Source organism: Homo sapiens, chromosome 2 (assembly GCF_000001405.40).
Source record: "Homo sapiens chromosome 2, GRCh38.p14 Primary Assembly".
Classification (NCBI taxonomy): domain Eukaryota; kingdom Metazoa; phylum Chordata; class Mammalia; order Primates; family Hominidae; genus Homo; species Homo sapiens.
The window spans coordinates 209,131,514-209,145,210 of record NC_000002.12 but is presented as its reverse complement, the minus strand read 5'-3'; the positions used below and the strand labels follow the sequence as shown (position 1 = coordinate 209,145,210).

The window sequence follows — 13,697 nt, the reverse complement described above, 5'->3', positions numbered from 1 at the left end:
ATTGTCGGGTGTTGTCATTGTTTGAAGATGAATTAAGGGATGATTGGTTTATTTTTAAAAATCATTGATGACTAATACAGTTATTCATGATGCTTTTTAAATTTCAACTTTACTTTTAATCTAATGTATATAGATTTGTGTGGAACGGATCCCTAAGTAAAACTTTCCATTAAGACTGAAAATAAATAGCATGTCTGTCTATATATGTATACATATAGACAGATATATATATATATATAAATATGTAATATATATTAGTTATGTATAATATATAATACATATATTAAGAAATCATGGAAAAGATTTTTTCTTTTTTTTGTATGAGCAAAAGAAGATAAATAGTATAAAATACATTAGGCACAAATCTTAGTAGGAATATTATTTTAAAATCTATATTTATCCTCTCCTCCCCAAAAGCTCTACTAAAGCACTTAAGCTTTTCCTCTAAGCTCTGGGGGTAGAGGGGTGGGACCCAAAAATAGTCATAGAAAATAATGCAAAGTAAGATGAGGAATTCAACTGCTGTCAAATAAAGAATGCATTGCTAAGTATGTTGGTGAAGAAAATGAAATACTTGAATCACCAGGGTCTCAAAAGTACTTTCTCCTAAAGGCTCGTAGCATGTTTACCCAAAGAGATTTGGAAAAACCTACTTCTTCCAGCTGCTTTATTATTTGAACCATTTGATCAATATTGAAACTATTCCCAAGACAAAATTCAAGTAATGAATTTCCTAATAAGTGGATTTCTTCCTGAAGTATGTTTTTAAGCCATTCTGAGGATAAAATATTTAAAGCCATTATCTTCCCCCTCTAAGTTATATGAACTCAGTAATTGAGTTTGTCTCAGTAAAAGGCAGTTGCAATTTCCTAACACTGATCATAGAAAAGTACCAAGGTTCTCAAAAGAGAACTAAAATTATAAAATTAAAAACATTGGTTTCTAAAAACACTGTAATAGAGTATTTGTAATATATTTAAAATATTTGGTCTGTGAGTTTTTAAATATAATGTATAATATGCATTTACGTATAACCTTATGATAATAATTCACAAAATTCTACTGGCATCCTTTTATACAAAGTGAAGATGTTCAGTTTAGAGATCTCAGAGATTTTAGAGGTCATCTTTATCATAAATTTCTATTTGTCACCAAAGAAAGAAAAACAGATATCAGATAGCAATTGCAAAAATAGACTGGCTTTATGTTTATTCTAATTTTAAAAACTGTAAATTAGGATACAAAAAAGTACGTCAGACTTGCTGTTGCATTCCCAAATTACCATTTAAAGGATAAAGCAACTGTTTGCTCAGATGTAAATTACCTTCACTATATTTGCTCCTTAGAGAAATTTCTTTCAAACGCCTATCTTAGGAAGTATTGAGATAATTAAACCACCTTTTCTTAGAAAGCAAGGATGTAACACAGCTGCTTTGAATAAAATAATTGAATATTTCTTTCCACAGTCTTACTCTAGTTAATATCTAATTTCTAAAATTCTTCTCAAACACTGTCTTCTTCTTATTGTTCTTTTTTAAAACAGCTTTATTGAAGTATTATTGACATATACAAAGAAATGTATATATTTAATGAGAATTTGATGAGTTTGGACATACACAAACACCCATAATACCATCACTACAATCAAGGTAACAGACATATCCAATACTTCCCAAAGTTTCCTCATGCCCCTCCTTTTTTATTTTGTTTTATTTTCATGTCAAGAACACTTAACACAGTATCTTTACTTTTTTTTTTCAATGCACAATACCATATTATTAACTACAGGCACTGTGTTGTACAGTGGATCCCAAAAACTTACTCATCTTGTGTAACTGAATCGTTATATTGATTGAACAACTCCTCACTTCCTTCACCTCCAAGCCCCTGGAAACTGCTATTGTATTCTGTTTCTGTGAGTTTGACTATTAAAGATACCTCATAAAAGTGGTTTCATGAAGTATTTGTTCAGAAACTGGCTTATTTCACTTAACATAATGTTCTCCAGCTTCATGCATGTTGTCACCAGTGGCAGGATTTTCTTTTCTTTCTTTCTTTTTTTTTTTTTTTGAGGCTGAATTATAGTCTGTTGTATGTATATATATATACCACATTTTCTTCATTCTTCATCTGTGGAATGACACAAATTGTTTCCATATCTTGGTTATTGTGAATAATGCTACAGTGAACCTGGGGGTGCATTTTCTTTTCAAGATCCTGATTTCAATTATTTGAGATAAATACCGTAAGAGAGATTGCTACATTATCTGGTAGTTCTATTTTTAATTTTGTGAGGAAACTCCATACTATTTTTCATATCTACTGCACCATTTCACATTCCCACCAACAGTGTATAATAATTCCAAATTTTCCACATCCTTACCAACACTTATCTTGTATTTTTTTGGTAACTACCGTCCCGTCCTAACAAATGTGAGATGATATCTCATTGTAGTTTTGATTTGCATTTCTCTGAGAATTAGTGATGTTTAACAAGTTTTCATTTACCTGTTGGTCATCTATATGCCTTCTGTAAAGAAGCATCTGTTCAAATCCTTTTCCCACTTTTCCCCTGTGTTATTTGAATGCCAGACATTGTGAATTTTACAGTTTGACGGGTGCAGGGTTTTTTTTTTTCTTCAGTCATTCTAAATAGTGACTTACTTAATTTTGTTGTACAGTTATGTTACATGATTCAGTTAGATCAGTTAGAACCTTTAAATGTTCTTTTATGCTTTTGGAATACTATACCCAATGCTGTGTGTGTTTGAGGCCTCTTTGCTCTGGCTGGTGGGAACAGGAATGATAGCGATAGCTAACCCTGTGTGAGCTCTGGGAATCTTGTTAGCCCCATCTTACAAAGTTCCTAAATAGAAATCTGAAGGATTAGTAGAAGTTGATGACAAAGAGAGTCACAGTAGGTCTAGATTATTAATGGGAACAGGGAGAGAACACAGCAAATGGAAGACATGCTCATGAGTGGATCACAATCACAGGCAAGATGCAATTGTGCTATTGCCATGTAAGCATCTCAGAGCACGAGTATGGTACCTAGCTGTCTCTCCCAGTTCTGACACTAACTAGCAGACAGTTTTGGAATAAACCTTCAGACCTGTTTCCTCTGGAGAATACATGTTGGACTCCTGCTAATTTATGAGCTTTACCTAAAGACTCTGCCTGAGTAACCTGGAGAAAGAAACTGCACAGAACCTATTGATGACTCATCTTATGGAGAGTCAGTAACAACTATCAGTTGATTTCCATTTTATAGATGATATTTGGCATTCTAGGTATTATTCAGATTACAGATTATTCTAGGTATTATTTCACAGGAAAGTACTGCCAACAATTCAGATGAAGGAAGAATGTTGAACAGCAGAGCTTCTGTACTCAGCCAAGTAGTAGATTTTCAAATATAAGATTAAATAAATTATTTTAAGCAAAAGGACAAAGACAAATTCCTCAGATTAGACTAAAAGGAATATTCATGGCTTACCTTCATATAAACTAGGGCATTGAAATTTAAAGAGATTATTTAAAATAAGAAGGAAATACAGATGAGGTCAAGTTCTCATCCTTGTCTTTCCTCCTTCACTTACACATCTAGGTTAATCCCTTCATGAGGAAATTTAAACCTTTTGTATGTAAGTTCATTCTGCCCTCTTTTAGCATCTCCTCCTTGCTTTTAGATCTGTCTGCTCAGATTTAATTTGAGGTGAGTTTCTAAATTATTATTCTAAGTTTAAGAGAACTAGAATTCTGAATCAACTGCTATTTCACCCAGAAGCCGCAGGTACAGTCAGTTTCCTGGAGGACTGTGATACCACAAGATGAATTGTTCATGTGTGACTACAGCAAAAGATCTGGAACGATTCTTAACAAATTAATAGTAAATTAGGAACAAGTTCAAACCTGAGGCATTCTGTTGCTTTGACTATTCCAGGGTGTTTCATTCGTTGAGTAATTACAAAGGCAGATTACTGAACCAATTCATAAAATGAAGACTAGCCTTCCAGAAACTATATTCTCTTCTCATGGAATTTTAAAATGAGGTTTCTTTCATTAATATTCTTCACCTCTTTTACCCCAAAAGATAATCAAGTAAAAAAACCTTACATAGTGTCAAAGGATATATTAGCCCAAAGAAAAGAAAATACATTAATGTCAAATATTTTCTTATGCGTAATTCCCTGTTACTACAAATAAAAAAGGCCCAAGAGACCAAACTATGTATTTCCAAACAAACAAAACAAACAAAAGCAGTGATCTAAGACTGGAGATGTTAAAACTGTATTCCCAAGACTATATAGATTGACTGTGAAATTATTTTTCCAAGAAATAAATCTGGGACAACTAAAGATCAATGGTTTTCTAACATGTAGGAGAGGAGAGGATATACATTATTCAGTACTGTTTTCATATATTTTATAAAAATTTTATATAGTGTTTTGATAACAAATTTTTGGGGTTTCTATTAAAGCATTTAGAGTATTCTAATACATCCTCTTCCTTTCCTGCATGGTGCTGGTGAACATCTGGTCCCATTCTTTTCTTCTGTATTTCCACACAGACTATAAACCTTTCATTATACATTCTTTCTGTCAATGTGTATTTATCTCACCAATTCTGTTCAGTACCTTTGCTCTTTTTGCTTGACCTGGGATATATTCCACTTTGTTTAGTGGACTTGTTACAAAACTCTAGTGAAGTAACATTCCTGCCCAGCTCACCAGCAGTAGTGGAGAAAATAAAAATCATTTATCTGCATTTCAATTTCATTCAACTCAGGTCAATTCAGTGGGCATATTTAAACACTTATCATGTGCTCATCATTATGTTAATATAGAGCAGTCACACATCAAAGATACTTATTAGGTACAGTGCTTTGTATTATTTCATTTATTCTCGCAAAACTTCACCATTTCTTTTCTCCCTTTTATAGGTGAGAAGACTAAGGCATCACTGTATCATGTTGCTTTATGTAGTTATGAGAATTAGATGAGCAAATAATGTAGCAAATTGCCTACCTTGTAAGTTTTTAATAAATATTTTCTCCCACTATGTTTTTTATAGATATCCAACTGAATGACCAGGCAGAAAATTCAGAGAACTGTCATCCATGATTTTAGTAAATAATAAATATAGACACTACTGCCTGAAGAGCATCAGGCAGAGGAGAGACAGAGGCTCCCATTATAAGTGGAGCTTGCTACACTAAGTGTCTTTACCCAGCAAACCCAGTGTTCTAGAGTATGATTTTCATTTGTTACTGTGGGAAGTTGCAAGTGAATTCAGAATCTTCTGGTTGGAGACATTGCAAGTTCCTTTAGTGCCTCAATCTCATGCTCCTTTGGAAGATTGCACATACCCTACTTTAGGGAGCTGATTTTTCCTTTTTTAAAAACTCTCTTGTGAAGAATTCTCTACCTCCCTTAGCAAAATATGTGGTGTCTTGTTATACTTTAGGTCAGGAAACACTTCCTTGAAACCCAAACTCATCTCTTCTGTGTTTAGTAGAAAAGCAGCATGATAATATATGGAATTTCTTTACTAGAAGGGACTTTGGAAATCATTTGGATGAACATTATGATTTTGCAGATGAGGTCAAACAATTGTGTCAGAATCCAGATTAGAACTTAATTTCCTTTATTTTTAGTTCAACATTCTTTCTACTCTGCCATTCTGTCTCCTTATGGCTAAACAGAGTGTCATAGCTTTCAATCCACTTCCATTCACTGTATGAAAGCTGGCACATTTGTATGTCTGCCATAGAAGTTTCAATAAGTTCCCATAATACTCAATATTACTACCACTCCACAATGTTATTGTTGTTTAGAAATCATAGGTAAATGAACCTCACTGACATAGGTTTGCATAAATTTACAAAACTAAAAATGGTTTCTTAAAGGAAAAGGAGCCCATTAGTAGCTTGATTAAGTCAGTCCATTAATCCTATAGATGTTCAGCTCCACACAAGAGACCACATGAAACTTCATGATTATCTCAGGAATTTTATTATTCATATTTCTGATCCAGAAAACAATTATTGAATCTTCAGTTGGTGCCCCAGAACCAAAAAAAAAGTTCACTGGAAGAAGAAAATAAACACAGCCTTATTGAGTATTATTAAAAAGAGGTGAAAGTCTCTCAGGCAGAAGAAAAAGACTGGTGGAATTGATCCATAACACGGAGAGATCAGAGGGCAAATGATTCACACCTGAATAGGCATGGAAAGCAAAATTCCAAAGGAGAAGAGAAATTTGAGCAATAGAAAAGAATATTTAAAGGCTATCGGGACAAGCCAATACTAGCTATACATCTGGATGAGGAGTAAATCACAGATTTCGATGTCTTCTTTATGCTTTTGTTTTCCAAATGAATCCATGTTAAATTTATAATTTTTAAAAACCTTGACCATATGCACACATGTGGTTTTGTCAGTTTTTTGTTGGATGAGAAATAAACAGAGATAGGAATACTCTCTAAAGATAATGTTCAGAACAAAAAACATACAATTAACTTATTAAATTGAAAAAAAGAGTTTCTAGAAAGCTGGCTGGAAATAGGGCTATCCCTGTGAGGTAAAGAAAAGGAGCCTATGGATGGTGCTTAACACTAACTTAAATTACTTCCAAACCACCATTTTCATTTAATTAATTGTTATTTCATTCAGGACCCAGTAGGTAGTTTCCAACTTTTTACTGCAGTGAACAATTCTACAGTGAGTATCCTTGTGAGCAGAACCTTCCTTCCAGGATGTTAACACCACTTCTACCATCTGCATTCCTGACCAGAAAAGTTCAGCTTATTTCTATCTTACTTTTCTTCCCTTAGACGTGTCTTTGGTTTGAGAATGTGACTTTGACATTTCCCAGGCTTTAGAGTTTCTACAGTAAAATCTTAAGGAGAGCAGCAGGAACATTGCTAATGGGATTTAAAGCATGAGAAAAACAATCACAAATTTCCGCTCCCTGAGGTGAACGCTTTGCATTTTAGGATGGGCTCTTTTAAAGGTATTCAATTAGGAAAAGAGGAAGTCAAATTGTTCCTGTTTGCAGATGACATGATTGTATATTTAGAAAACCCCATCCTCTCAGCCCCAAATCTCCTTAAGATGATAAGCAACTTCAGCAAAGTCTCAGGATACAAAATCAATGTACAAAAATCACAAGCATTCTTATACACCAATAACAGACAAACAGAGAGCCAAATCATGAGTGAACTCCCATTCACAATTGCTTCAAAGAGAATAAAATACCTAGGAATCCAACTTACAAGGGATGTGAAGGACCTCTTCAAGGAGAACTACAAACCGCTGCTCAATGAAGTAAAAGAGGACACAAACAAACGGAAGAACATTCCATGCTCATGGATAGGAAGAATCAATATCATGAAAATGGCCATACTGCCCAAGGTAATTTATAGATTCACTGCCATCCCCATAAAGCTACCAATGACTTCCTTCACAGAATTGGAAAAAACTACTTTAAAGTTCATATGGAACCAAAAAAGAGCCCGCATTGCCAAGACAATCCTAAGTCAAAAGAACAAAGCTGGAGGCATCATGCTACCTGACTTCAAACTATACTACAAGGCTACAGTAACCAAAACAGCATGGTACTGGTACCAAAACAGAGATATAGACCAATGGAACAGATAGAGCCCCCGGAAATAATACCACACATCTACAACCACCTGATCTTTGACAAACCCAACAAAAACAAGAAATGGGAAAGGATTCCCTATTTAATAAATGGTGCTGGGAAAACTGGCTAGCCACATGTACAAAGCTGAAACTGGATCCCTTCCTTACATCTTATATAAAAATTAATTCAAAATGGATTAAAGACTTAACTGTTAGACCTAAAACCATAAAAACCCTAGAAGAAAACCTAGGCAATACCATTCAGGACATGGGCATGGGCAAGGACTTCATGTCTAAAACACCAAAAGCAATGGCAACATAAGCCAAAATAGACAAATGGGATCTAATTAAACTAAAGAGCTTCTGCACAGCAAAAGAAACTACCATCAGAGTGAACAGGCAACCTACAGAATGGGAGAAAATTTTTGCAATCTACTCATCTGACAAAGGGCTAATATCCAGAATCTACAAAGAACTCAAACAAATTTACAAGAAAAAAAAATCCCATCAAAAAGTGGGCGAAGGATATGAACAGACACTTCTCAAAAGAAGACATTTATGCAGCCAAAAGACACATGAAAAAATGCTCATCATCACTGGCCATCAGAGAAATGCAAATCAAAACCACAATGAGATACCATCTCACACCAGTTAGAATGGCAATCATTAAAAAGTCAGGAAACAACAGGTGCTGGAGAGGATGTGGAGAAATAGGAACACTTTGACACTGTTGGTGGGACTGTAAACTAGTTCAACCATTGTGGAAGACAGTGTGGTGATTTCTCAAGGATCTAGAACTAGAAATACCATTTGACCCAGCCATCGCATTACTGGGTGTATACCCAAAGGATTATAAATCATGCTGCTATAAAGACACATGCACACATATGTTCATTGTGGCACTATTCACAATAGCAAAGACTTGGTACCAACCCAAATGTCCAACAATGATAGACTGGGTTAAGAAAATGTGGCACATATACACCATGGAATACTATGCAGCCATAAAAAATGATGAGTTCATGTCCTTTGTAGGGACATGGATGAAGCTGGAAACCATCATTCTCAGCAACCTATTGCAAGGACAAAAAAGCAAACATCGCATGTTCTCACTCACAGGTGGGAATTGCACAATGAGAACACTTGGACAGAGGAGGGGGAACATCACACACTGGGGACTGTCGTTGGGTGGGGTAATGGGGGAAGAATAGCATTAGGAGATATATCTAATGTAAATGATGAGTTAATGGGTGCAGCACACCAACATGGCACATGTATACATATGTAACACACCTGCACGTTGTGCACATGTATCCTAGAACTTAAAGTATAATAATAAAAAAAAGTGATAGAAATAAAAAAAATTATGTATAAAGAAGACAACAACAACAACAAAAAAAGAAAGAAAGAAAGCAGTACCATTGCATGTGTTCCTTTAGGAGATTATTGAGATTTTTGAGTGTGGCATTCTACAAATGTTGGATTGGGGTTTGATTCACTTCTTATATGGAAAGGCAGGGTCAAACCTTTCATTAAGAGTCTGTTAACAGGTTTATAAACCTGATTGGATAATTCCATTAGGTATGTAATACCAAATAATGTTACTATAATATATCACAGCATAATGGAAGAGCTGGAAATAGGACTTGACTGCACTCCTATGAGGATGATAAATGCATCAGTAGTCCTGTAGTCTACTTGTCACTCGTTTACTTTCTTAGAAACAGCAACTCATGTGATGCCAAAAAATCCACCAGAGAAAAAAGAATGGGGAGAACCCAGAAGGCACAGGGGTAGACCCTCCTAGCTATTTTCAACACCGACGTTAGGGCCGAGAGATAATGTAAGACACTGAAAAAGAGTGCTTTGAAGCAAAATCCATTCTTTTATACTTAGTCCATGTGTCTCTCCCTTAGTCTCTGACATCAGATACTTGTTATTGAGAAATAGAATACTATTTGTTGATGTTTGAAAGGAAGTTTGTGTAAACTGAAAAAAAAGTTGTCATATTTATTTCCATGTGTAAACTTGGTAAAATAATAGTTCACAACTACTGAAAAACCTACAGTATGCCAGGCCCTGTGCTAAGCCTCTTACAGGGATTGCCTGTATTAATACTCTGAGCAAGCTTATGTGGCAAGTGCTTTATTGCTCCCCATTTTACAGCTGAGAAAAGGAGGCACAGTCATATTAAATAACTTCCTCCAGATCACACAGCTAGCAAGCCATAGAATACAAACAAAATGGGGAATTGCAACTGTAACCCAAGGTTTTAGCTTGTTCACCACAGTAGCAAGTGGATACTTTACTCATAAATAAATGACTCAATCTATTAGTTTAAGTAAAAATTCTATAAAACACTATATATATCGTACAAAGTAAAAATATATTGCATTGATGTATTTTAACTATACAGTGATAAGGATAAAATATTTTCTGCTTTTAATAAAACAGACACTTCTAGAATTAAAGGCATCATCATAAAGCCTTTGAGTACTACAGTTTCATAAACTGTAAAACAGATTATAACAGTGTGTCAAAGAATTGTTAACAAAATAGATTATAGATAGGATGCATTTGAACACAAGTAGTACAAAGCTAAATATAACTTGTGTAAATAATAAGGACATTCATATTTAGATAAATACATGGCAGTCTAGAAAAAGGGTACCCTTGGGAAAATGCCATGCTCTGATTGGCATTAGCCTAGGCTTTGAGGCCTGGGGGAATGAAAGTACTATGGAATTGGTCTAGAGATGAGAATTACTTTCTTTTAAGTCATGTGAGCTTTATTAAAGACAGGTAGATACCTGAGCCCCATCATTGCTTTGTTAAGAAAGAGGGAGGTTGAATAGCTGCTGCCTTATGTCCATTACATGTTATTATGTCCATTAGAAGTCAAAAGAGATAACAACCATGCATGGATGTTTTAGAAAGCCTAGGTAAATTTTATTTTATTTTATTTTTTTCATGAATTAAATGATATTTATTTATTTATTTATTTTTTTAAATTTTTTTTTATTATACTTTAAGTTTTAGGGTACGTGTGCACATTGTGCAGGTTAGTTAGATATGTATACATGTGCCATGCTGGTGCGCTGCACCCACTAACTCGTCATCTAGCATTAGGTATATCTCCCAGTGCTATCCCTCCCCCCTCCCCACACCCCACCACAGTCCCCAGAGTGTGATATTCCCCTTCCTGTGTCCACGTGATCTCATTGTTCAATTCCCACCTATGAGTGAGAATATGCGGGGTTTGGTTTTTTGTTCTTGCGATAGTTTACTGAGAATGATGATTTCCAATTTCATCCATGTCCCTACAAAGGACATGAACTCATCATTTTTTATGGCTGCATAGTATTCCATGGTGTATATGTGCCACATTTTCTTAATTCAGTCTATCATTGTTGGACATTTGGGTTGGTTCCAAGTCTTTGCTATTGTGTATAATGCCGCAATAAACATACGTGTGCATGTATCTTTATAGCAGCAAGATATATAATCCTTTGGGTATATACCCAGTAATGGGATGGCTGGGTCAAATGGTATTTCTAGTTCTAGATCCTTGAGGAATCGCCACACTGACTTCCACAATGGTTGAACTAGTTTACAGTCCCACCAACAGTGTCAAAGTGTTCCTATTTCTCCACATCCTCTCCAGCACCTGTTGTTTCCTGACTTTTTAATGATTGCCATTCTAACTGGTTTGAGATAGTATCTCATTGTGGTTTTGATTTGCATTTCTCTGATGGCCAGTGATGATGAACATTTTTTCATGTGTTTTTTGGCTGCATAAATGTCTTCTTTTGAGAAGTGTCTGTTCATATCCTTCACCCACTTTTTGATGGGGTTGTTTGTTTTTTTCTTGTAAATGTGTTTGAGTTCATTGTAGATTCTGGATATTAGCCCTTTGTCAGATGAGTAGGTTGTGAAAATTTTCTCCCATTTTGTAGGTTGCCTGTTCACTCTGATGGTAGTTTCTTTTGCTGTGCAGAAGCTCTTTAGTTTAATTAGATCCCATTTGTCAATTTTGTCTTTTGTTGCCATTGCTTTTGGTGTTTTGGACATGAAGTCCTTGCCCATGCCTATGTCCTGAATGGTGATGCCTAGGTTTTCTTCTAGGGTTTTTATGGTTTTAGGTCTAACGTTTAAGTCTTTAATCCATCTTGAATTGATTTTTGTATAAGGTGTAAGGAAGGGATCCAGTTTCAGCTTTCTACATATGGCTAGCCAGTTTTCCCAGCACCATTTATTAAATAGGGAATCCTTTCCCCACTGCTTGTTTTTCTCAGGTTTGTCAAAGATCAGATAGTTGTAGATGTGCAGCGTTATTTCTGAGGGCTCTGTTCTGTTCCATTGATCTATATCTCTGTTTTGGTACCAGTACCATGCTGTTTTGGTGACTGTAGCCTTGTAGTATAGTTTGAAGTCACGTAGTGTGATGCCTCCAGCTTTGTTCTTTTGGCTTAGGGTTGCCTTGGCGATGCGGGCTCTTTTTTGGTTCCATATGAACTTTAAAGTAGTTTTTTCCAATTCTGTGAAGAAAGGCATTGGTAGCTTGATGGGGATGGCATTGAATCTGTAAATTACCTTGGGCAGTATGGCCATTTTCACGATATTGATTCTTCCTAGCCATGAGCATGGAATGTTCTTCCATTTGTTTGTATCCTCTTTTATTTCCTTGAGCAGTGGTTTGTAGTTCTCCTTGAAGAGGTCCTTCACATCCCTTGTAAGTTGGATTCCTAGGTATTTTATTCTCTTTGAAGCAATTGTGAATGGGAGTTCACTCATGATTTGGCTCTCTGTTTGTCTGTTATTGGTGTATAAGAATGCTTGTGATTTTTGTACATTGATTTTGTATCCTGAGACTTTGCTGAAGTTGCTTATCAGCTTAAGGAGATTTTGGGCTGAGACAATGGGGTTTTCTAGATATATAATCATGTCGTCTGCAAACAGGAACAATTTGACTTCCTCTTTTCCTAATTGAATACCCTTTATTTCCTTCTCCTGCCTAATTGCCCTGGCCAGAACTTCCAACACTATGTTGAATAGGAGTGGTGAGAGAGGGCATCCCTGCCTTGTGCCAGTTTTCAAAGGGAATGCTTCCAGTTTTTGCCCATTCAGTATGATATTGGCTGTGGGTTTGTCATAGATAGCTCTTATTATTTTGAAATACGTCCCATCCATACCTAATTTATTGAGAGTTTTTAGCATGAAGGGTTGTTGAATTTTGTCAAAGGCCTTTTCTGCATCTATTGAGATAATCATGTGGTTTTTGTCTTTGGCTCTGTTTATATGCTGGATTACATTTATTGATTTGCGTATATTGAACCAGCCTTGCATCCCAGGGATGAAGCCCACTTGATCATGGTGGATAAGCTTTTTGATGTGCTGCTGGATTCGTTTTGCCAGTATTTTATTGAGGATTTTTGCATCAATGTTCATCAAGGATATTGGTCTAAAATTCTCTTTTCTGGTTGTGTCTCTGCCCGGCTTTGGTATCAGAATGATGCTGGCCTCATAAAATGAGTTAGGGAGGATTCCCTCTTTTTCTATTGATTGGAATAGTTTCAGAAGGAATGGTACCAGTTCTTCCTTTTACCTCTGATAGAATTCGGCTGTGAATCCATCTGGTCCTGGACTCTTTTTGGTTGGTAAACTATTGATTATTGCCACAATTTCAGCTCCTGTTATTGGTCTAGTCAGAGATTCAACTTCTTCCTGGTTTAGTCTTGGGAGAGTGTATGTGTCGAGGAATTTATCCATTTCTTCTGGATTTTCTAGTTTATTTGCATAGAGGTGTTTGTAGTATTCTCTGATGGTAGTTTGTATTTCTGTGGGATCGGTGGTGATATCCCCTTTATCATTTTTTATAGTGTCTATTTGATTCTTCTCTCTTTTTTTCTTTATTAGTCTTGCTAGCGGTCTATCAATTTTGTTGATCCTTTCAAAAACCCAGCTCCTGGATTCATTAATTTTTTGAAGGGATTTTCGTGTCTCTATTTCCTTCAGTTCTGCTCTGATTTTAGTTATTTCTTGCCTTCTGCTA

The 13,697-nt window shown here is 35.6% G+C and overlaps 1 annotated feature.

Annotated features, from left to right (window-relative positions):
* Positions 6,601-7,290: an enhancer, noted in NCBI's record as "OCT4-NANOG hESC enhancer chr2:210002645-210003334 (GRCh37/hg19 assembly coordinates)". NCBI's record gives its function as "activates a minimal SCP1, AML or CMV promoter by ChIP-STARR-seq in primed H9 embryonic stem cells {active_cell/tissue: H9 hESC(primed)}" and the evidence as "EXISTENCE:reporter gene assay evidence [ECO:0000049][PMID:30033119]".